The 26,643-nt window shown below is 35.9% G+C and overlaps 2 long non-coding RNA genes across 2 annotated transcripts in view; one reads left to right on the top strand and one right to left on the bottom strand.

Moving 5' to 3' along the window:
• The window catches only part of LINC01239 (long intergenic non-protein coding RNA 1239), a 178,014-nt gene that overhangs the window by 111,966 nt on the left and 39,405 nt on the right, over window positions 1–26,643 (bottom strand). The gene's annotated exons all lie outside the window — the stretch shown is intronic.
• Window positions 5,491–26,643, top strand: part of LOC107987054 (LINE-1 retrotransposable element ORF2 protein-like) — a 40,372-nt gene continuing 19,219 nt past the window's right edge. Inside the window, exon 1 of the long non-coding RNA XR_001746635.2 lies at window positions 5,491–21,703. This is a non-coding gene — a long non-coding RNA (LINE-1 retrotransposable element ORF2 protein-like). The remainder of the gene's footprint in view (window positions 21,704–26,643) is intronic.

Genomic DNA, 26,643 nt, shown 5'->3' with positions numbered 1-26,643 from the left:
AGAGAAGAGAACTTGTACAGGGAAACCCTGATTTTTTAAAACCATCAGACCTCATGAGACCCATTCACTATCATGAGAACAGTGCAGGAAAGACCCTCTCCCATAATTCAATCACCTCCTACCAGGTTCCTCCCATGACACATGGGAATTGTGGGAGTTACAATTCAAGATGAGATTTGGGTGGAGACACAGCCAAACTATATGTGGAGGGAAAAATTTTCAAGTCATTCATGAAGCCAGTGTTATCTTCACTTCTAAGTCAGACAATGACATCATTAGAAAAGGAAATTGAAGACCAATATACCTTATGAATATAGATATAATAACCTCCAACAAAATGCTAGCAAGTTATATTTGGCATCATGTTAAAAGGATTATACATCATAACCCAGTGGAATGTATTTCAAGAACGCAAAGGTGGTTCAACATAGAAAAGTCAATGTATGTAATATACCATAAAAATCCACACAATTACTTCAATTAATGTAGAAAAAGGATTTGAAAAAATCCAAAACTCATTTACGATAAAAAAAAAAAAAAGCACACAATCAACTAAACATAGAAGAAAACTTCCTTAAATCAGTAAAGGGTATGGAAAGGTTTACACTAATTTCTGCAAGGGTTTTTAGGTGTGGATGGACCAAAAAACAGACCCAGTTGCCACAGCAGTCCCAGTTTCATGAGAGCACCTGTGAGCAGCAAAAGAAGCCCCAGTATCTTTACTACTTGCATGAGTCTGAGAGACAGAACACTTGCACAACAAGGCAGGCAAAGCACCTCTATTAATGAGAGGCACCAAGTATAAACAGAAGCCAAGGAACCCTGGTGAATAAGTCCCCTAAGTCTCAGGAAAGCTGCCCAGGGACATGGAGCTTTTTCTGTTCATGTCCCCAGTCATACTATATCTGAAGGATCATGAAACCACTCAGCTCTGTGTTTTATACCCTGGACACAACTTCGATTGTTGAGCTCAAGCATTGCAGAATATTCTGTTCTGGAGGAAACAAGGACATAGTCCAAGTTGTTTCAAACATTTCTTCATTATTTCAGAAATTTGCATTCTCAGTACATTATGCATAAAAGAGGGAGAAAACCTACTTAGGTCAGTCAAAATTATTCAGGGACTTGTCTTCCTGTGGGGTATTTATGAAAAACTAGCAGTTAACATTATGCTTAATGGGTAAGGGTTAAGATTTCTCCTAAAGATCAAAAACAAGTCAAGGAGGTTGACTCTTGCCAATTCTATCCTACATTGTACTGGAAGCTCTAGAAATGAAATTATAAAAGAAAAAATAAAATATATTTAATTGAGAAAAAAGAAATAAAACTTTCTATCTAAAGATGATGTGATTTTTACACAGAAAACCCTAAAGACTGCATGTACAGAAAAAAATAGGTTAGAGTGAATTAGCACATGTAACAAAGTATCAGGATATAAGATCAGCATACTAAAGTCAATTGTATTTCTATACATTAGCAATTAGCATTCCAATAAGGAAATTAATGAAAAATCCATTTAAATACTATTAAAAACCTAAAATACTTACAAATAGATCTAATGAACAAGTTACAAGATATGTACACTGAGTACTGTAAAACACTATGAAAGTAGATTTTAAAAAACCTAAATAAATTGAAAGACATCATGTGGTATGAATTGGAATACACAATATTGTTAAGATTAGTATTCTCCCCAAATTGATGTACAGATTTAATGCAGTCTATATCATATTTACTGCCTTTTTGTAGAAACGAACGTGCATATGCTAAAATTCATATGGAATTTCTTCAAGGAACACAGAATAGCAAAACTCTCTTGATAAAAAATAACAGAGCTGGGGACTCATACTTCCGGATTCCAAAACTTACTATAAATCAACAATAATCAAATCAGTGTGATATTATCATAAGAATAGATATAGAGAACAATGGAATAGAAAGGAGAATACAGAAAATTGGCATCTATGATCAACTTATTTTTGACAAACATGCCAAGAAAATTTTCTTTTTTTTTGAGATGAGTTCTTACTCTGTTACCCAGGCTGGAGTGCAGTGGCACAATCAAGGCTCACTGCAGCCTCTACCTCCCAGGCTCAGGTGATCCTCCCACCTCAGCCTCCTGAGTAGCTGAGACAACAGGCACATGCTGTCACACTTCACTAATTTTTTGTAGATACTGGGTTCACCATGTTGCCCAGGCTAGTCGTGAACTCCTGGGCTCAAGGGATTTTCCAGCCTTACCCTCCTAAAGTGCCAGGAACAGGAATGAGCCACCGCTCCCAGCCCCAAGAAAATTTTCTATGGTTTGAATGTGTCCTCCAATTAGCATGTGTTGGAAATGTAATCCCTAATGTAATAGTGTTGGGAGGTGGGGCCTAATGAGAGGTGATTAGGCCATGAAGACAGAGTGAATGAATTAATGCTGCCATTGCAAGAGAGGGTTTGTTATTGATAGGGTTTATTATTTAGCCATTATTAAAAGATTTTGACATTTTCACTCTCTCCTTTTATTCTCTCTCTCCCCTTCTCTTTGCCCTTTCACCATGGGATGATGCATAAAGAAGGCTCTTGCCGCATGTAGCTCTTTGATCTTAGACTTCCAGCCTCCAGAATTGTGAGATAACAAATTTCTGTTCTTATGAATTACGTAATCTATGGTATTCATCATACCATCACAAAATGGACTAAGACACGATTCAACTGGGAAATAATAACACTTTCAACAAATGGTGCTGGGATATCTGGATATTCACATACAAAAGAATAAATTTGGACATCTTTTTCATGCCGCTTGTAAAAATCAATTCAATATAAGAGCTTAAACTATAAAACTCTTCGAAGAAAATGTGAGGTAAATATTTATGACCTTGTATTTGGCAATGGCTTCCTAGAGATGACCCAAAAGGACAAGCAACTAAAGAAGAAAAATATGATAATTAGACTTTAACAAAATTTAAAATGTTTGTGCATTAAAAAAACTGTTAGGAAGGTGAAAAGACAATTCATAGAATGGGAGATAATATTTGCAAAAATCCAAAATATATAAATAACTTACATAATCCAACAACAAATAAGAAAGCCAAATTCTAAAATGGGCAAAAATATTGAGTAGATATTTATCTCAAGAAGACATATAAATCGCCAATAAGAGCATGAAAAGATGCTCAATATCATTACTCATTGATGAAATGCAAATTAAAACCATAACGAGATACAACTTCACATTCATGAGGATGCCATAATTTAAAGAAAAAAGAACAAGAAAAATACGTGGATATGAAAAAATTGCAACTCTACTATATTTCTGGTGGGAACACAAAATGGTGCAGCTGTTGTGGAAGAATTTGATGATCCTCACTATTCCAATTATTGCTGTATATCAATGGGAATTGAAAACAAAAGCTTGTACCTAAACATTTACAGCAGCATTATTTATAACAACAAAAATGTGGAAATGACCCAAATGTTCATCTAATAATGAATGGTTATATAAAATATTGTATATGCATATAATGGAAAATTACTTAGCCACATAAAGGAATGAAGTACTGATACATGCCACAATCTGCATGAACCTTGAAACATTATGCTAAAGAAAACAAAGACAGACATAAAAGTCCACATATTGTATGATTTCATTTGTACAGATTAATCAAATTCATAGAGGTGGAAAGCAGATTAGTGGTGGGCGGGGGCTAAGAGGAGAGTGGAATGAGAAGTGGTAGCTTAATGGCTGTCAGGTTTATTTTGGGATGATAAAAATATTCTTGGATTAGAAAGTAGTTGTGGTTTTGTAACCTTGTGAAGTACTAAAAACCACTGAATTGTACAACTTAAAAATGGTTAAAGCTGTGAATTTTATGCTAGTGTAAAATAGAAATTACATAATAAAATGCATAGCTGCATACCTGAAAATACTGACTACAACAACCAACATTGAGTCATAGCCTATTAAACGTAGTTGACTTTACATAAAACTCATTTAGGCATATAAATAAAAAGAACAAATTATAAGAAAAAATAGATTGTTACTGGATTTTTAATAGCAATATTTCATATTAGAAGAAAATTGAGATGTTTAAGATACTCAAGGAAAGAAAATGGGAGCCCAACATTTTATAACTAGAAATAGTGACATTCAAGTGAAAGGGCACAAAGTATTTTTAACAGTCAAAAACTCAAGAAATATGATTTCTATAAGCCCTTCTTGAGTAATCCATCTAGAATGAAGTTCAGACAACAGAAAAGTAAAAAGGCACCAACATAAGATCTAGTGGTATTATGTATATATTTATTATAGAACTAGATGAAATAAAGGTTAAATAAATCTAATATGTAATAAGGTATTTATCTGACAATGGATATATAGCACAGATATAATAATTGAGTTCATTTGGGTGTTTTACAGTTTTTCAGGTGAAATGGGAAAATTTATGGACATAAAGTCGGCTCTATTAATCTCATTTTAACTTTTTTTCATATTGAGTTTTGTCTCCTTTTTACTCCTTAATATCATTTATTTTCTCTTGCTTTCTCTTTTTTTCTTGCTCAGTCTTGCCTAAGGTTCATCATCTTTATTAGTTTTAGCAAGGAACCAACTTCTGCCTTTGATGACACCCTATTATATTGTTCCCAGTAATTTCTGTTCTTTACTGTTTCATTTCTTATAGTTTCTTTGCTTTTCCTTTTCCTTAGGTGTTTTGTTGTTGTTGTTTCTTAAGTCAATTACTAGCACATTAGCTTTTAGCCTTTTTAAAAATACCAATAAACCTCTTAGGGCTATAAATTTTCCTCAAAAATCACATTAGCTGCTCTCAAAGTATTGGTAAGTGTTACTTTAACTATTGTTAATTTTCCATTGTTAGTTCTCTCTCGGATCTGCTCAAGCTCCAGACCTCCCCTTTTTTTCCCTGTGATCAGCCCAAGGGCTGTTAAAATCCAGCCTCTAAGTCCCTTACAGATGGTAGATATCTCTAGAGGTAAGCTTGACTCCAGCATTCTCTTAGCACTATATATTGTCTCTTGTCACTTGTGTTCTTTGAGGGATTCACTTGAATTCTGATACATATTTGAAAACATTACACTATGTAAAACATTTTTAGGTACTTTTATAGAAATTTATCTGTTTATTTCATATACCATCTTACCAAAAACAGATGTTCAGCAATTATTCCTACCAATATCTTGTTTTTTTTTTTTTTGTTTTTTTTTTTTGTTTGTTTGTTTTTTTTTTTGAGATGGAGTCTCACTCTGTCACCCAGGCTGGAGTGCAGTGGCACGATCTTGGTTCACTGCAAGCTCTGCCTCCTGGGTTCACACCATTCTCCTGCCTCAGCCTCCCAAGTAGCTGGGATTACAGGCACCCGCCACCACGCCCGGCTAATTTTTTGTATTTTTAGTAGAGACAGGGTTTCACTGTGTTAGCGAGGATGGTCTTGATCTCCTGACCTCGTGATCTGCCCACCTCGGCCTCCCAAAGTGCTGGGATTACAGGCATGAGCCACCGCACCCGGCCCTCCTATAAATATCTTGATAGTCTGAATGTCTAAAGGGCAGAATTTGTGCCTAAATGATCCTATCTCCTAAGTTTGAAGGCCTGACATACTGCACTATATTTTGAATTGTGAATAAATGAATGTGTGCCTGGTTTTGACAAACATTTAGAAACCAAATTAAGAAAATTTATATTTATCTACTAAAGATCACTTATTTTAGAATATGAACAAATGATTTACATCCTCTAGCATCATTTTAAATAAACATTCTAGAATCAAATTTTATTAGAATTATTTTTACATAATAAAAAAATACTTGTTTGATTTCTTAAAATACCCTGAAGAGGGAAACAGTAATTCAAGTTTTAGTAGCTTTTCAAAAAGATTAAACTCTAAAGAGTTTCTGAATATTATTTGGAAGTGCAACTTTAGGTATTGTGATTTTCTGCTTTTATCAATACTAAAACATCAAAGAGAAGAAAAATTCCCTTACCAGTTAAGAAAATAGGGAGAGGAGGATAGTTTTCCATGGCTGCAACACAAAGTTTATTTAAAACACACACACACACCCCCGTATGTGCACACACACATACTCCCTATGTGGACATAGACATAATTTCTTTGCTGGAATCTGCCCAATGTACAAAATTAACTTCTTTATGTTAGCCAAAATACTATGGGACTTTTAATAACCATGATTCTTTATGTCTAATCTAAGAGATAGGACCTCCAACCAGCTCAATTCACTGATATCCCACTGTGGTTGTGAATCGCCACTGACTCAGATGCATACCCCCCAGTGTATCCCTCACAACACATTTTACTTAGCTTTTAAAAACTGACAGATCAATTGGGTACAATTGCACAGGTGGAACATTTAGGTTTAAGTTTTTTTTTTTCATGTTCTGTCATTTTCCCCTGCATCATTAGTCTCATTCTCCCTGCTACTAAAAGAGAATGATTTTCCCCCAAATCTCCTGTTTCATTTATTTTATTCTTACATTCTTCCCTTCTCTTCTACCTCTTTCTTCAACTTCCCTCTTCTTCCTTCTAAAATACCATATATCTTCTTTTTCTTTTTCTATTTGCTTCTCTGCTGTTCTCTACAGTTGTTTGATGCTAGTATTGAACTTTTTGCTTCTTTCCCCTATCAAGGTTCGATTTAATCGACTTCGTGAGAGGATATACAAGTAAAATGTGCTTCTAAATCTTGCTTCCTATTTTCAGTCTGAAGGGGAAAAACAGCTTCAGTTGTTAAAAGTCTAATTTCCTTAAAAGCTTGAATTTTACTCCTTTAAGTTTTGTCCTAAAGCAGATTCATTTGACTTGTAATTGATATGTCCCTCTGTTGGTCAGACTTCAGTTCTTCTTAGAGCCCAGAATAACTTTTCTCTACTTATTGCTGTTTTGGTTACTGTTTATGCTTTCTCATGTCAAAGTCACAATGCACTGACTTCTACTGACAATGGGTCTCTCTGTTTTTCTCTTCACATTTTCCGTGCTGAGTGGTGTTTTCTGAATAGGGTGAGTCTATACTTTCTTTTTGTCCTGCAGAAAAATGGACATGAGGAATCCAATTATGGTAGTCACAATGTCTGTGACAGATATGTTAGTTACGAGCAATATGCATGATGTTTCTAGGATTCTCCAGAGACAATTGAATTACTAGCTCTGTCCTGCTGTTGTTATTGTACATGTACCACATCCTTACCACTGTTCTAAAGAGGATTCGTTATAGTTATAGGACTAAAAGTTTGGATTTTTTTGAAATTTTAAAACTTTTCATATATATTATCACTATCTAACATATACTGAAGACCTACAATGTGCCAGGCATTGTTCTAAATACCTTACACTGTTATGTCATTTAATCTCCACAGACACTCTGTGAAGTTGGTAAAATTGTCTATATTTATACCTACAGAAATGGAAGCACAAGGAGAAGTCTGAAGTCACACTCCATAGGAATCTTAGTGGTCTAGCACCAAGTCCTCAGGATTAATTATTATTCCACAGCGACCTGTTTGGATAATCATGGTGACCTTGATTTGGGGAATTTAACATTTATCGTCATTGAATTTTATGACTGGTGAGAATTAAGCAGTTTGATTTTAGGTGTCTTGATGTTTCCCAGCAATGACGCCCAGTTTGCTGCTTTACAGAGCAGCACACATTTTACTTCTCAAGATAGCATGGGAACATTTAGACTTTATTAATAGAAAAGTAGTCATAGTAATTTTATTCATGCAATATTGTTACATTTTAGTTAGGAAAAGTGAAAATTAGGGAAGTCTAAGGAAAATTACATATAGCTATTTAGATAGTCTTACAATCTCACAAATAGCAATGTAAATAAAAACAAAAGGTGAAAATATTGTTTATGCAGATAATCCCAAAATGTATTTAACTAGCACTTATTATATGTGTTATACTATTACTATTTGACGATCACTGTGCAAGGTACAATGAGGAGAGTGGCATCAATTGTAGGGGAACTCCTTTTAGAGGGAGGGCTTTATGAGTGTCACCAGCGTATAGGACTGGTCACTCTCAAGACCCTCTCAGAAGTGTGAATGATGATAAAAATACCCCAAAGAATCTTTATGGACTGTCATTTAATAGTAAATTTCAATGTCTTCTCTAAAATCCATTTTTTATCTCAGTGACTCTGTGATCAGAAATATAAGAAACACAAATATGGATAAGATAGGAATGAAAGCAGTCAAGTGAAAATGGCAATTGCTCTGGTGGCCAAATCAAATAGCACAATATAAAAAGGGTCAGATTCATTAAGTCCTTCATTAACCAGCCCAGTGGAGTTCCTCCCAGTTCCCCATTGTCAACTGCCTATTCAACGCCAGGGATAGGCATTCTGACAACAGGATCTCATCAGCATCCTCCAAATATTTGAACTAATGTTCATTTTAAAACTTACATTGTAATAAAGAGAGATATTTAAATCCCAAAGTTATTTAGAATTTAAAAGATGACTTTCAAATTTTTCCCTTAAGGTCTCCATTTCCATTTGCTGCCATCCTGAAAAATCTTATAAATGACTGATCAATAAGTGATTCAAACATCACAATTAAAAGAACTAGAAAAGCAAGAGCAAACACATTCAAAAGCTAGCAGAAGGCAAGAAATAACTAAAATCAGAGCAGAACTGAAGGAAATAGAGACACGGAAAACCCTTGAAAAAATTAATGAATCCAGGAGCTCGTTTTTTGAAAGGATCAACAAAATTGATAGACCACTAGCAAGACTAATAAAGAAAAAAAGAGAGAAGAATCAAATAGATGCAATAAAAAATGATAAAGGGGAAATCATCACCGATCCCACAGAAATACAAACTACCATCAGAGAATACTACAAACACCTCTACGCAAATAAACTAGAAAATCTAGAAGAAATGGATAAATTCCTCGACACATACACTGTCCCAAGACTAAACCAGGAAGCTGAATCTCTGAATAAACCAATAACAGGATCTGAAATTGTGGCAATAATCAATAGCTTACCAACCAAAAAGAGTCCAGGACCAGATGGACTCACAGCCGAATTCTACCAGAGATACAAGGAGGAACTGGTACCATTCCTTCTGAAACTATTCCAATCAATAGAAAAAGAGGGAATCCTCCCTAACTCATTTTATGAGGCCAGCATCATTCTGATACCAAAGCCAGGCAGAGACACAACAAAAAAAGAGAATTTTAGACCAATATCCTTGATGAACATTGATGCAAAAATCCTCAATAAAATACTGGCAAACCAAATCTAGCAGCACATCAAAAAGCTTATCCACCATGATCAAGTGGGCTTCATCCCTGGGATGCAAGGCTGGTTCAATATACGCAAATCAATAAATGTAATCCAGCATATAAACAGAACCAAAGACAAAAACCACCTGATTATCTCAATAGATACAGAAAAGGCCTTTGACAAAATTCAACAACCCTTCATGCTAAAAACTCTCAATAAATTAGGTATTGATGGGACGTATCTCAAAATAATAAGAGCTATCTATGACAAACCCACAGCCAATATCATACTGAATGGGCAAAAACTGGAAGCATTCCCTTTGAAAACTGGCACAATACAGGGATGCCTTCTCTCACCACTCCTATTCAACATAGTGTTGGAGGTTCTGGCCAGGGCAATTAGGCAGGAGAAGGAAATAAATGGTATTCAGTTAGGAAAAGAGGAAGTCGAATTGTCCCTGTTTGCAGACGACATGATTGTATATCTAGAAAACCCCATTGTCTCAGCCCAAAATCTCCTTAAGCTGATAAGCAACTTCAGCAAAGTCTCAGGATACAAAATCAATGTACAAAAATCACAAGCATTCTTATACACCAACAACAGACAAACAGAGAGCCAAATCATGAGTGAACTCCCATTCACAATTGCTTCAAAGAGAATAAAATACCTAGGAATCCAACTTACAAGGCATGTGAAGGACCTCTTCAAGGAGAACTACAAACCACTGCTCAATGAAATAAAAGAGGATACAAACACATGGAAGAACATTCCATGCTCATGGGTAGGAAGAATCAATATCGTGAAAATGTCCATACTGCCCAAGGTAATTTACAGATTCAATGCCATCCCCATCAAGCTACCAATGCCTTTCTTCACAGAATTGGAAAAAACTACTTTAAAGTTCATATGGAACCAAAAAAGAGCCCGCATCGCCAAGTCAATCCTAAGCCAAAAGAACAAAGCTGGAGGCATCACACTACCTGACTTCAAACTATACTACAAGGCTACAGTAACCAAAACAGCATGGTACTGGTATCAAAACAGAGATATAGATCAATGGAACAGAACAGAGCCCTCAGAAATAATGCCACATATCTACAGCTATCTGATCTTTGACAAACCTGAGAAAAACAAGCAATGGGGAAAGGATTCCCTATTTAATAAATGGTGCTGGGAAAACTGGCTAGCCATATGTAGAAAGCTGAAACTGGATCCCTTCCTTATACCTTATACAAAAATCAATTCAAGATGGATTAAAGACTTAAACGTTAGACCTAAAACCATAAAAACCCTAGAAGAAAACCTAGGCATTACCATTCAGGTCATAGGCATGGGCAAGGACTTCGCATCTAAAACACCAAAAGCAATGGCAACAAAAGACAAAATTGACAAATGGGATCTAATTAAACTAAAGAGCTTCTGTACAGCAAAAGAAACTACCATCAGAGTGAACAGGCAACCCACAAAATAGGAGAAAATTTTCACAACCTACTCATCTGACAAAGGGCTAATATCCAGAATCTACAATGAACTCAAACAAATTTACAAGAAGGGAAAAACAACCCCATCAAAAAGTGGGTGAAGGACATGAACAGACACTTCTCAAAAGAAGACATTTATGCAGCCAAAAAACACATGAAAAAATGCTCATCATCACTGGCCATCAGAGAAATGCAAATCAAAACCACAGTGAGATACCATCTCACACCAGTTAGAATGGCAATCATTAAAAAGTCAGGAAACAACAGGTGCTGGAGAGGATGTGGAGAAATAGGAACACTTTTACACTGTTGGTGGGACTGTAAACTAGTTCAACCATTGTGGAAGTCAGTGTGGCGATTCCTCAGGGATCTAGAACTGGAAATACCATTTGACCCAGCCATCCCATTACTGGGTATATACCCAAAGGACTATAAATCATGCTGCTATAAAGACACATGCACGTGTATGTTTATTGTGGCATTATTCACAATAGCAAAGACTTGGAACCAACCCAAATGTCCAACAATGATAGACTGGATTAAGAAAATGTGGCACATATACACCATGGAATACTATGCAGCCATAAAAAATGATGAGTTCATGTCCTTTGTAGGGACATGGATGAAATTGGAAATCATCATTCTCAGTAAACTATCGCAAGAACAAAAAACCAAACACCGCATATTCTCACTCATAGGTGGGAATTGAACAATGAGAACACATGGACACAGGAAGGGGAATAATACACTCTGGGCTCTGTTGTGGGGTGGGGGGTGGGGGGAGGGATAGCATTGGGAGATATACCTAATGCTAGATGACGAGTTAGTGGGTGCAGTGCACCAGCATTGCACATGTATACATATCTAACTAACCTGCACAATGTGCACATGTACCCTAAAACTTAAAGTATAATAATAAAAATAGAAAAAAAAAAGTCTTGAAAGTGAGAAAAAAAAAACAAACAAAAAAGAAGTGATTCAAAAGGTCACCCATTCCCAGACATCCAAAGAGCAGAGCAGGCAAAAAACTACTCTTCTCAATTAAGTCAAGCTCAGAGTTCCTGGAAAGCTTATTGACAGCTTACCCAAATGGTTATGGCAGTTTTAAAACCTTGGACCATTTCCAACTTGCCCTTCAGTAAATGAATGAAATTTGGACAAGCATTAATTTGCAGTATTGTCATTGGCAGGGAGAATGTTAATGTATTTGTCATTACAGAAGAATTACAAATCCCTGATTATAGCTCATCTGTGTCTACTCAGAGAAAGTCAGATGGAGAATGGAACAGATTGGACATTGAGAGAAGTGGAATATTTTCTGTTTTAATGAAATAAAACAAAAGTCTGAGTTTGAGCCTTAGTCATCCAGGAGTCTATCTTTGTATTTCATCTTACCTGTTTCTATAGCCAGAGAATTTAAGATATATAGTGTAATCCAATGCAATTTAATGAATTGCTGTCCCACCATAATAGCTCCAGCAGTTTATCCAGACTCTTTATGAATACATCCAGTGACAGCATATCCCATCATGAAAAAGAACTACTCATTTTTCTGCTTTATATGTCTTACAGTTTAACAATAAATGATAGCTTTCCTATTTTTGAAAAACTTCCATTCAACTTAGTAGCAACCGTAGACATACCTCATATATGTGACCAACCTTCACATATTTGGAAATAGTTGTCAGTTAGTCAATCTCAATGATCCACTTCTCTGTGGCTAAAATCCTCAATCCTAATTCAAATTCTTTAAAGCATTATTCATAAAATATTGTTTTTAAATCCTTCACTACCCTGGTCACCCCCTTGGACATGATTTTGTTGTACAATAGCTTGCAGCAATGTGGTATACTGCACAGTGAGAAAGAGAAAAGCAACCTCTCAGCCAGGAGGAGCCCGCACACTCACAGAAAGGCTATGCTGTTCTTCTGTTGTACATAAACAATTTACAGAATTGTTTATGTAAAACGACTTTAGACAAGTCCACTCTGTGATCATGGTGGATTAAGCTAAAACCATTCTATAAATATTACACAGAAGTGACAAAATATTCTTTGTTCTAGCTAATATGAATGCCTGCTGGATTTTTCTTTTTTTTTTTCTTTTTTTAACCAATTATAGCTTTAGTCTTACTTCATTCCTCCAATCTTCTCAATAAGAATTATTAAAATACCCAGTCATGGAACTGACAACTGGGTAAAAGTAAGGTTAAAAAAATTATGAGCAATCATTTGATATATGACCCGAGAGATTAAAATAAAGCAATAATACTATACTATTACCATTATTATTATTATTACAAACAAAATAATAAAATCAGAGCTAGTATTCATTCATTGAGTGCTTGGTCTGGATGTTGGCAGACCATGTGACAGACAATTTACCTACATTACTCTTTAATGTACACGATTTATAAAATAAGTATAGTTATCTCATTTTACAGATTAGAAAAAGTGAGGTTTGTGAAATGAAGTAGCTAGCTCAAGATCTCTCTGCTAAAATTAAATTTTGAAACCAAGACCTAAAATCTACAAGCCAAAATTTTATTGCCTCAGTTCAAGGCAGTAAGTAGGACTGATGTACTTGCAGGAGTTGCATCTAACCAAGGAGAAATGCCTTTTGAAATGTGTTTGACCAAAAGATGTGATGTCTTTATTGCACATTCTCAAAAAGTTGTCTGTGTGCCAACTATGAATCCTCTTAATGCAGGAAGAACCCCTGATGGTCTTAGCTTAAAGATACCTTTTTGAAGAATTTCCATAAAGTTTAAGCATTTTAAAAACTTTTCTATTAACTCTCAGTTCCAAATAGGTGTGCCAATTCTTATATGCCAAGTATCAACTAGAAGATTGTTCTGTATCAGCCAAGTTGTCATGATGTTTCATCCCTCTCTAAACTCCCACTGTCTCACCAAAAATTGGAAACATTGGTACCCAAATTCTACTGTGTAACTTTTCAAGATGATTGTTTGTCCCTATAATCCTACTTTGACCAAGAGGATGATGCTATTTTATAAAAATATTTTCCGGTCTACCTTTAGAAATTCACATATTCTTCATGGCGATTTATACTGATTAAAAAAGGACAATAATCCAGTCATATTAGTTAGGAAAGGTTAGCAGCAAATTGCCCACCAAACACACAGATTTGCCTTCGTGAAAAGTCTCAAAAGTACAAACATTACAAAATGACAAAAATAACTACCAATGTATCAAAGACACTGGGTGAATCTCTAATGTTAAGAAAAGACTCCAAGTCTTTCTTAGAAAAACAAAAGAAGCAAAATGTGTTATTCACCCATTCCGAAAAATATCAACCAACTCTGTCAGTAATTTCATGAAATAGCTAATATAGACAATATCAATTTCTGAGAAAGAAAGAATTTAGTTGTGTAGTTACCAAGACAGTAACAATTTGTTTTTGGCTCCCACTTTGTGCCAAATTGTGCCACACTAAATGCTTTGGGTATGGAACTCACTCTCTGTAAGTATTCCTTAATCTTGTATGATGAAAGATGGCTACAGGCAACTGACTCCCTCCAAAGTCTGAAAACAGTAGTACAAATTAGCATAAGGCCAATGATCTGTGAGAAATTAGAAATAATGTTATAGGCAAGTGAGAAATGAGTTTACTAGATGCTGAAAAGAGTGCCAAGCTAAGCATCATAGAATAAGAGATGTTACATATAATTACATAGCTTTATAGATTTTCATTTTAATATATCTCTCTTCCATTTATTGTATGTTGCATGAAGACAAAGACCATGTCAGTCTTGACCAATATTGTATTACAGTTCTTTAAGAGAACAAATGAGTGAATGGAAGAATGGAAATCTCTTCCAGCCCTGTTACAATATACATCTGTTATTTTGTGTGTCCAGCATTCACTCCACATTTATCTCATAGCAGGACTTCTGTTTTCCCAAGGGACTTTCAAGTTTCCTACTCTCAGCCCACTATTTAATTAGTCTTGTTAGGTGATGCTGTGTTAACTCATTAGTACACTCCATCTCTCTGGCTACAGAACCTAAGTCTCAGGGATTTGGGGAAAACTTTTAGGCTGGAATTTTTGGTTGTAAGAAAACCTGTGCATTTTAAAGGTTACCATATGGTAAATTCCTTGCTGAGAATGAAGTTAACATAGACTAAGAAAAAGCAACCAGAAATAGTGCACACACACACACACACACACACACACACACACACTCAAAGCAAGAGAAAGAAAAAGATAGAGAGAGAGCATTCTGGTGAATTTGGCTTGTTTTGGCCATTCTTGTACCTTGGTTTTCTGAGCAAATAAATCATTTTTTATGCTTGAATTATTTTGGGTAGGGTTAATTTTAGTCGTAATAAAAAAGAGTTAATAATACACTCTTCTCTCTGCAAATGGAGAAATGAGTACAGAGGAGAAAAGTGCCTTATACTTTCGTAGGTGCAATATTTTATAGTGAAAGAATTATGACTGGGACCATGGTTCTTAAACTTCCAATTCTTTCTACCATGCTCCATTGCCTTTATTAAATAATAGATTTGTTAAAGACATGGAAGATTAAGAAAAGAAATATTACAACAACTTTCTTGGAGAAAATAACCAAAAATCTACTACCTCCATAGGATGGTCTCCGTTTTCTCACTTACATTCCTCCAAATAGGAGGCAGGATTTGAATCTCCGAATTCATTTGGCCATGTAACTTTCTGCTGAGACTGCCTGAAGAGGAGACAATTATACCCAAAAGGCAGTCTAATTAATAAATTAAAGTAAAATTACTCATTGAAATTCTTATTATCAAATACAGCATTAGTCCATTTGTCAGGTAATTCGTAGTAATGTTTAGTAGTTGATAGTAATTTGTAGTAATTACATGTCAAGCCATTTCTTCACTTCATATTGGTTTCACTTAGTAAACTCAATACTAAGAAAAGGAATTAGTGGTTGATGGCCATGTCTGCTTTTTAATGCAAAGTAAGTAATATAATATAATATAATAAGAAGCAAAGTAAATACAGAGTTGAGAAGGAAGTAGCTAATGTACAGGGCCAGATTGCGTAAGTGGTTCTGTACTGAAGTAAAAATCTCATACTATTTTATTAGCAAACATTGAATTTGGGTAAAAGAAAAAAGAACACAAACATGGAATACATTGGGCGTTTAATAGTTATGAATTTCCAGCTAATCTATTGGCTTTTAATTCCCAAATCTCCATTTTTTCTAGAGGGATTAAATAAACCTATTAAGGTTCTAGGAAAGACTTTTGAGACCATTATTTGAGTCCATAATTGTCACTGTGATAATTTATGGATCAGTAGATCAGAACAGAATCTCACTTGCTAGAATGGAATTTCCTTTGCAATGTGCTTTCATTTTAGAAGCCATAGAAAGACTTTCATTTTAGAAGCCGTTGAAAGACTTTCATTTTAGAAAACATAGAAAAAAGACTTTCATAGCCAGGATTATATTTGTTATACTGAGCATTATGCAGTTATTGAATTGCTTGATTCCAAACTCCCATGGGCATAAAATATCATCAATCAACTTCATATAAATGTATAAATCTTCAGAAATAAGTTTAAGTTGAGCATGTGCAAGCACAAATGTCACAAGATACAAATTTTCAGTCAGGTGTTTAATTTTCATTTTAATGTACTGACCACTACCCTCGTCTCTCTTTCTACCTTCTTGGTCCCTTCTCCATTGTTTCCTTATTACCAGTTCATCCCACAACTGCAGCATCTTGTAGGGGTATTGTTTATTGTTGTTTTATGACCTACTTCTCAGGGTTGCATTGTTTTCATTTTGCAAAAGCCCTTTAAAATTCCACAGCTCTAAAAATTTAAGTACTACAAAGTTCAAAAATCAATATCTTATCTTGAGTGATACACAAGTTTCCAGAAGAGAAATTTTGGCATTCATTCCATCTTAGTAAATAAAAAGGAATTCACATATTAGTAATTTAAAATCCTAAATAATGTAAAGCATGTAGAGATGAAGCAATCATTATTCAATTGCAAGTGAGAGAACTGCCCTGAATCAGTGGTTATAGATGGATATATAACTTTTTCTTTTAGGCCCTTTTCATAATATGGTTATTTGTGGTCTGAGTAAATCATTGAAATCATAATATAACTCTTTTCAGTCTCTAAATACGTGAAAAAAAATAACATTTTGAAGCCTTCAGTAAAGTAGGCTGACTGAAAGGCAGCAAAGGGAGAGAGGCTTCTTCCTACAATTCTCTTCTGCAAGAACAATATTGTGTATTCCGAAACAATTACTCTTTTCACAGTAAATAATTTGGAATAATTGTTCATAATTGATAACAATTTCTAGAAGTAATAGAAGACTGTGGTAAAAGAGATTGGACTCTGTAGACAGACAACCTTATATTTAGATCCCTGGTCTTAAGTCTACTAACTTGTGTGGCGCGGGAAAATTACTTTCATCTCTTTCAGAGACGTTTATTTGTTTTCTTTCCTCCCTCCCTCCCTCCCTTCTTTCCCTCCTTCCTTCCTTCTAAAAAATGAAGACAAAATTCATCAATTTGATGTTGCCTTAAGGAAAAAATGTGATTAAGTTTTCAAAAGCGCAGTGTTCAGCCAATGTTATAAACTTTTCCATTAGTATTCAGATAGGTATCAATTAAGGAAAAACTCACCAGTAATAATGGTAATATTTATTGAAGGCTTGCTATATACTAGGCACATTTTAAGACCTATTTTGGATGTTTCCCTCTTCCTAAAATATTTAATAATATCCCCAGTTACTATCTTTTCTTTTTAATTTGACCATCATAAGTACTTTTTTATTGTGAAACTATTAGCATTTATATTTGTCTTTCTTACTTTCCTTACAAGACTATAACTTCTTGAAAACAAATAGTCTGTTTGGACATCTTTTAGACAGGACATCTTTCCTATCTAATCACACATTTTTAGCCTAGAATTGCACTTAGTCAACAATAAATTGAATCAAGTTAACTTTAAAGAAATTAATTAACAACCCTATGCTGAGGTGTACCTTTTTCACACATACAAACACACATGTGAGTATCTCTTATGGTGCTGAAATTTAAGACTCAGAAAGTAATTGCTGAAGGAAATGTTTTTGATTAATCTTGGTGAAGAATAATATCCTAACTTACATTCTGCAAATTACTTCTTCAACAAGTACAATACAAACTCTTTAAATGGTCTTACAATATGTCAACCGTGAATATGATTATGTTATTTTTGTTTTTAAAGCATGTGAATCTTCTTTTGATAAACACAATGTCTACACTTCAGGTGCTTGGCAAAATAAGAATCATAGGTAGAACAATTTTGCCATTGTTACAAAACTTTTGAAGTTACAATCTAGAATATTGTTCAGTGCATTTTATAATGAATCTCACAATAATGTCTTCTCAGAGTTCAAAGACAGGAAAGAGTTACTTTACTAGGAAAAAGAAAAACCCAGGATTCCTTTTATTAGCTAACAAAAACCATGTAAACCTTTGTAATTCTGTATTTTGTTAAGAGTCAGAGCTAAATTTCATGCTCAAGTAATTTACTGCGTTTTCCTCACTCTATCGCATTGCCCCTTGTTAAACCAGTGTTTTAATGTTTTTGTAATATCTTTGCCTTCTAGTAGAGTATGAATCCTTTTATGAAAGTAAAGATAAACAAATGAATATAATGCTTACTCCTTTTTATATCCCCACCTTCACAGTTAGACTGAATGCTTTATAATTACTCTGGTAGACTCTCTGATGTCCTGCCAGCAACGCCTTCAATGAAAACTTATTGCCCATCCCATAAGAGTGCTTGGTAAACAGATTTCTGCATTTGCCTCTTCCAGAATTGCCTCACCTGCAGACTGCCACAGCCACATTATTTAAGTTTACACTTCTTCCTAGGGTGGCCCACAAGTAATGGCATCAATCATCAGTGAAAATCGGGTCATCTCAGTGTAACTTAGACAATTCCGAGAGAACTGTCTAGCTTTAGAGCATCCCATGGCATTGCCCTAGTTTTTCACTGGGATTGTATCACAGATCAACTTCTCCCTCTGTCCAATCCTATCTACTTACCCTATCTTTTACAAGTCAGGATCCTGTTTGGCAAAGGACCAAATAAGCTAGAGACATCAGGGATGACGTCCATGCATATTTAGAGTCTCCAGATTCTCCTTGATCTTGCAAGTTTGCAGAAGTGGATGAAACATCTCTATGAAAAGGTAGTATTCCCCTCTTGCTTGAAGATGATTCAGACATTACTCAAGACAACACATGCTCCTACTACCCTTTTTGGCAAGAAAATCTATAATTAGAGTTATGACATAACATAAACCATCTAGAGATATGATGGGATGGTGCATTGCAAGTACCATGGCATAAAAACCTGGGAGACTTTATGACATTAGTGGTATGAGTGATGAGAAAAGATGCCATTTCGAGACTATGGCAAGTATCAATGAGAAAATCACAACACAGATTGCTGGTAGTCTGGAGCAAGAGCATTCCATCAGAATCATGCCTTTTAAACAACAACTGTTGACATACTACTGGGCCTGCCATAGATGAAGTAGCTGACCATGGAGCACCAAGTGATAACTGAGCCACACCTGTCTGTCATGAGCTGGGTTCTGTCAAACTCACTAAGCTCTAAGATCAGAAGATTCTTGCAACAATTTATTGAGAGTTCTAAGTGTTACATCTAGAACTAAGCTCAAGCAGATCAGAGGGTCCATGCAAGCTGTATAAGCAAATTACCAAACCACCCATGTCATCCACCGCACCTCTCCCCCAGCTCACACCCATTACCAAAAAGAGGATCCTTACACTCAGTAAATAGTGGAAGACAAAGCACATGATTCGTTCATAAAAGGGTCAGTTAAGCATATGGGTAAAATGTGAAATTAGATAGCAGCTGCATTATAGCCCCACTCAATGAGGGCATTGAAAGAATAGTGAGAGAAAATCCTTGCAATGTACAGATTCTTGGTTTGTGGTGGGGGTAGGGGGCAGAATGTAGTCATATATTTTGTGTAAAAAAATAAAATTAACTCAAGTTCAGAGCATATGTGAATTCAAGGACAGTAGCAAATGGCTTGGCTAAGTGATTAGGAGCCTGAAGAAAGATAGGAGAAGATACTGCATAAGAACTTCTGTAGTAGATGCATTTAGAATGGGTACCTGGAAGAGAGCATGAAGTATGACGAAGTTTTTTTGTTGCACACTAATACTCACTAGAGAGCACCCACCACGGAAGAAGCACTGAACAATGAAGAAGACAAAAACTCGCCCAGTTGATATTAGTCTCTGTCATCAGCTACTCCAGCTGGCATTATGATTACATGAAATGGCCAAGGAAGTAAGGATGGAAGCTTTACATGGGTCCAATCTCTTGGAATCTAAGTAACTTAATTGATCTTGCTATTTGTGTTAGCTGATTTTGCTACTGCAAACACAAATATCCAACTGTCATCAATAAAGGCCAATGCTGAGTTGCCATTAGAGCAGCCTGCTTCAAGAAGACCATCTTTGTCTTTTCTTATTGTCTTTTTTGCTTGCAGGACATCAAACAGTATGACTGTCTGAAGACTTAGGGAATCCTAGGTACTGGATTCCACATGAAAAAATGACCAACCAGGAAACCTAGTTTATAGCAAAGGAGGTGCTAAGGCAAACCTCTGACCATGAGATGAACTAATCATTTAACATACAACACCACTCATTAACTGGAAGACTAGAAATCCCGCTTGGAGGCAATACTTTATGAGGATGCAACACAATCCATGCTGTGGTATGCTCATTGAATCAGTAACATGTATAACTGTGCCTCCCCTTCACAGTAGGAAGAATACATGGGTCTAGGAACCAAGAACAAAAAGAACAAGTAGGCTCACTTAAATCACTTCAAGTAACCCACTTGGGAATTTATTTTTCCTATTCCTTCTATTCTAGGCTTTGTAAATTTAAAGGTCTTGGTTCCCAAAGGCAGGACACTTCTGCCAGAGGACACAGCAAAGGTCACATTGAATTGTAAGCTGTGACTGCCAACTGGGAACTTTAGATCAGCAGGCAAGAATAGCAGGGATCATCTTGGCAGGGGCAATAGACCATGATGCTTAGGAAGAGGTGGGGTTGCTGCTACACAGTGAAGATTGAAAGAATGTATGTGACACTCAGGTGGTCTACTTGGGTACCTCTGGTATTCCTTTGCCTAGTTGTGAAAATAGACAAGAGCAACAACTTTAGCCTGAGAAAGGTGTGGTGGCTAGGGACTTAGAGCCCTTAGACTCCAGTAGAAATGGTAGTAGAGAGTGAATGGAATATAGACTGGATAGTGAAAGAAATCATGAGCATCACTTGTCCCCCTACACCCAGGGCAGCTGTGGTGATAGTACCTATTGCTTCCCACAAACTTGCTTATAAATTTTCTCCATGAATAGATGTCTAAAACAGTCTCTGGGAAGCTTCCAGAAATTTTATGAAGAAAAGGATCTAAGCAGGCAAGAGATGGACTGTGGGGGATCACCACATTTGACCACATGTTGGTCAAATATCCCTTCAATGAAGAAATTGTTCCCCCAGAATCTGGGAGTGCTGACAATAGTCGGTCTTTAGCTGTCAGCCCTTTAAGGGACTATCTCAGCTGCAAAGAGTCTCCTTGCCCAAGGAAATGCCTCTTCCCTGGGTAGACTGCATCCAAAATTAATAAATGAGAAATTATAAATATCAGATCATTAGTCCAATTTAGAACAATTCTGAGGGTTATCCTAGCTCCAGAACTTCTCATGGTAACAACTATGGCTGTCAATGAGTCTACATCACAACTTGACGTTTCTCTACGGATGACTACTTCTTTCTTCCTTTCACAGGTATTGATTACAAGAGTACTATTTAATAAACATCCTATATGCTAAACTCTGTTTTAGAGTTTGGTTCCTGGGGTACTCAAATTGTGCACCTGCCAAGCAAAGCAATGATTTGTGTAAGTATTCCAGTTAATGAAAATATATCTGATTCATTTAGGGAGTAAATGATTAGGATTTAGGTTAGATTCATTTAGGGAGTAAATCGTTAGGCTTTAGGTTAGAATCCCAATGTATTTCTTGAATTTGTTACAAGGTATGTAAGTAGCCAACAAATCACTGACAAATTATTCAACCTTCTAAAAGATTCCTCTTCATAACCAATATTCTCTTTAAAGTAAGAATTGGTTTACATGCTTTTTGCTAGGTTTAACATATGCTCAGAGTGGATCAAAAGTCAATTTTGATGGCTATATTTTGTGTTATTTTTTAAAGAACTTTTTACTGTACTCCACCTCAAAAAAGGCAAGGCATAAGAAGTTTTAATGATGCTAGAGGATAAAATATCATTTCCAGCTATTATAATTTTGTACCATTTAAATAATATTTTAAAAGACTATTCAGTTGGGTTTAAAAAAAAAAAAACCTTCCATTTATAAACCTCAAGAACTTAATAAATATGTTACTATTTTAGGTGTAGTCAAAGCCAGGTAGTTCAAGGTACAGATACTGGACTTTGTTTCAGCCTTTGAAAACCAATAACCTAGAATAATTTCCGAAATTGTATTGTTAGATAAATCTGAAACAATCAATGATTTTATCATTTTATTCCTTTTCAAAGTGTTTATTGAAATAAAACCTATAAAGAAAAGAACACATAAAATTGTGGTTAATCAATTTTCACAAAGTAAATGCAATTTTAAAATCATAACTGGCACCTCAGAAGCCCTTCTCATGCACTTTCCAAGTTGCTACTTACCTCGCCAAAGACAATTACTATTGTGACATGTCACCACGGAATTTTGCGTATTTAAAATATTATATAAAAACAGCCTTATGGTATGTGCTTTTTTGTACCTGGCTTACTTTACTGAACATTATGCTTGTGAGAGTCACCCATATTGTTGAACTTACGTATCATTTTCATTACTTTATAATATTTCATATGAATATTTCACATATTTTCCTAACTCATCATTCTGATTTTAATTTTTTTTCCAGTTTTTAGCTGTTATGAATCTTTTGTTGTAAAATGCACTCATTTTTCCTGGGTATGTATCTAAGAGTAAAGTCAGTAGCTCATAAGACAAAGTTTGAACTTTATTAGGTACTGAATATTGTTGTTGAATGCTTTTTACAAAATAATTGTCCATATTTACATTTATACCAGAGTTCTAGTAGCTCCACATCTTTACCACTACTTAGCCTTTTGAGGTCTTTACATTTAGCTGTCATTTCTGTGAAATGATAGTCCCTCCAACTAAACTCACAAAGTGCTTATCATATGTACCATGCAGACAATACTTATCCCATACTGACCTGTTCTTTAAATGTGTGTCAATTATGTAAGGGGAGGACCTGTCACATAATAATTAACATTGACTAAGTATTTATTATTTGCATGTATTTCCCTAAGTAATGTAAAACGATAGGTAATAAAAGCAACAAAGAACAAGAACACTAACATTGATTGAGGACTTATGTGTGCCAGATGCTTTTCTAAACATAAGGCATGTTTTAATTCATTTAATTTTTACAGTAATCTACTTTATAGAAAACAAAATAGAGGCACAGAGAGGTTACATCACTTACCCAAGTTCACAGAACAAGTAAATGGCAGAGTCAAGGTTTGAACCCCAAAATCTGGGTCGTCAGCCTGAGCTTCTATTATCTTCATTTGACATTCTATGTGAAAACATTCTACATTGTACATGTTTCATTGCACATTCTAAATTAATGTTTAGATATTTCAGGTAATTTTCCCACATGGCCAGCAAATAGTAAAGCTAGGGTAAGACTCGAAGCAGTCTGACTACAACTTCTGACCTCCTGTTGCTCTACCACTTCCAATAGCGGTGGTGATCGTATACCATTTATCACACATTCCAAGGCACAATAAGGCAGCAGTATGTTTTTTATTGGATTGGTGAGTAATTTTTTAAATGTACGTGCATAACATGGCAGAAAATACTATAGCAGGATAGGAATAAGGAAAAAAAAAAAGAGAAGGGAGGGAAGAAAACAATCTTTTATACTGAACCCACTATAATTTAGTTAAATAGTTTTCAAAGCTCCAATTGTCTCCAGAATTGGTTCCTTCCGGTGGGTTCTTGGTCTCACTGACTTCAAGAATGAAGCCGCTGACCCTCGCAGTGAGTGTTACAGTTCTTAAGGACGGTGTGTCTGGAGTGTTTTCTCCTTCAGATATTCAGATGTGTCCCGAGTTTCTTCCTTCTGGTGGGTTCACGGTCTTGCTGACTTCAGGAGTGAAGTTGCAGACTTTCGCAAGTGATTGTCACAGCTCTTAAAGGTGGTGTGTCCAGAGTTGTTTGTTCCTCCCGGTGGGTTCCTGGTCTCGCAGACTTCAGGAATGAAGCCGCAGACCCTCGTGTTGAGTGTTACAGCTCATAAAGGTAGTGCGGACCCAAAGAGTGAGCAGCAGCAAGATTTATCATGAACAGCAAAAGAACAAAGCTTCCACAGAGCGGAAGGCTACCCGAGAGGATTGCCGCTGCTAGCTTGCGTGGCCAGCTTTTATTCCCTTATTTGGCCCCGTCCACGTCCTGCTGATTGGTCCATTTTACAGAGCGCTGATTGGTCCATTTTACAGAGTGCTGATTGGTGCGTTTATTTTAGCTAGACACAGAGCGCTGATTGGTGCGTTTTTACAGAGTGGTGATTGGTGCATTTACAATCCTTTAGCTAGACACAGAGTGCTGATTTGTGCATTTTTACAGAGTACTGAATGGTGCCTTTACAATCCTTTAGCTAGACACAGAGTGCTGATTGGTGCATTTTTCCAGAGTGCTGATTGGTGCATTTATAATCCTCTAGCCAGACAGAAAAGTTCTCCAACTCCCCACTTGACCCAGGAAGTCCAGCTGGCTTCACCTCTCACAATCATTTGGTGGTTACTGTCTAGAGGTCTCACCTGAAGATGTGGAAGTTCCACTAAAACTTAGGGGGAAAAGTCATTGATATATTAATAGTTTAGGGGTGCAGGGTACAAGGAATCATATTAGCACATATTCCATGTAGATGGCATATTCTTAAGGATGACATGCTAGGACTTTCACATATGCTACTTCAAAAAGTTAGCATAATTCCCTGAAAGATAGGTTTAATTATTTCAGATAAGGAAAATAAATAAAGTCATTAAAGCTTTGGTCTCTTCTTACATACAACATAATGATTGAATAAGAAAGTAGTAGCAAACCAATTGGAAAATGCCTAATTACACTTTTAAACGGGACAAGTGAGTATGTGACTATCCTAGAAGTTCCAGAGGGTTATACTATCTAATAATAATCTCTCTCATCATCTATTTTTGTAGCTATTCCCCTTTCTGACCCTAACACATAGTCTTGGTCTCAGGAAACTGAGTCCAATATCAGGTAGATGCATTTCAGCCTCCAGGAAAGCATAGAGAAGATCAAAATGAAAGTATTTGCTGCCTTTTCCCCCTCGCAAAGAAAATACCTTTTTTTTTTTTTCTTGTGAGATGCTCGCTCTGTCACCCAGGTTGGAGTACAGTGGCGCAATCTCGGCTCACTGCAACCTCCACCTCCCGAGTTCAAGGGATTATCCTGACTCAGCCTCCCAAGTAGCTGGGATTACAGGTATGTGCCACCACACCTGGCTAATTTTTGTACTTTTAGTAATGATGGGGTTTCGCCATATTGGACAGGCTGGTCTTGAACTCCTGGACTCGAGCAATCCACCCGACTTGGCTTCCCAAAGTGCTGAGAATACAGGTGTGAGCCACTGCGCCTGACCACAAAGAACAAAAGAACATCTTCTAGGAGATAAATCCTGTCATCTGGCGGGAGCTGTTCTGACAAAGAACCCCTGGTGTACAGTTTTATAATAAAATAGTAGTGTTTTCCAGGTTACTAGATATCCAGAGTCAGACACTTTATAAACTTGCAAACATTTTCTGTATGTGCTCCATAGGACTTCAGACCTTAGAAGTATTACTTAGTGCCTATATAAAACACCTTCTATTTTTGGTTCAATAAATGGTCACGTATTTCAGGGTAATCATCTCCTTGCTGCCAGAAACACAAATCTTAGGGAAGTAGATTTTGCCAAAGTGGAACACTTTCCTTCCCACCACTATCCTTTAGTACTCAGTAATCCTGAGCACCAGGGGTATAACTGAGCAATTAACTCCTGACAATGGTATAAATGTAGGCTTGTTAAAACAAGTATTATTAATATTCCCTCAGGTTATCACCCTGGCCTAATTTACTGAACCATAAAGTACAATAAGACACAGACCTGTAATTTTGTGGTTCACATAAAATGCCCAAGGAAAGAGACAGAGTGGGAAAAAAAAACGAAAAAGAGAAAGAGAAAGAAACCCACAAACACAGTGTAAGAGCCCAATAAAATGAATTGTATTAATCATACATTAAATAGCTGAGACTTTGCATTTTATTTTACAACCAATAACTGCAACAATAGTTAATGATTGTGATAACTCATTATAGGCCAAGATGACATATTTATAATAGACTGGTAATTAAAATTCCAGAAGCCGCAACTCTTGCCTATCTCTGGCTTTTATTTATTTTTATTTATTTTTTTTTTTTAAAGAAAAATGACCTTCTCTAGGCTTCTCTGATAGAAAAAAATCCAAAAATGTTTAATTACATCATTGCAATTTAGTGTCCTTATCTCTCTTGGAGGTAGTGTTATGGATGAAAAACTCTGGTTCTCTTACATGAATCTTTTGAGATACCAGATAAATCTGACAAGTCCAGCAGAGTAACAGGAATGTGTTAGGAAAAACATCAACTTTAGTGTGAGAGAGACTTGAATTCAAAACTAAGTTTTGCCACTGACAAACTGTGAGACTGTAGCTAGTCTCTTCTGTGGACTTCACTTTCCTCATCTG

Source organism: Homo sapiens, chromosome 9 (assembly GCF_000001405.40).
Source record: "Homo sapiens chromosome 9, GRCh38.p14 Primary Assembly".
Classification (NCBI taxonomy): Eukaryota; Metazoa; Chordata; class Mammalia; order Primates; family Hominidae; genus Homo; species Homo sapiens.
Note: the sequence above shows the minus strand (reverse complement) of the source record. Positions and strands in the feature narration are given on the sequence as shown.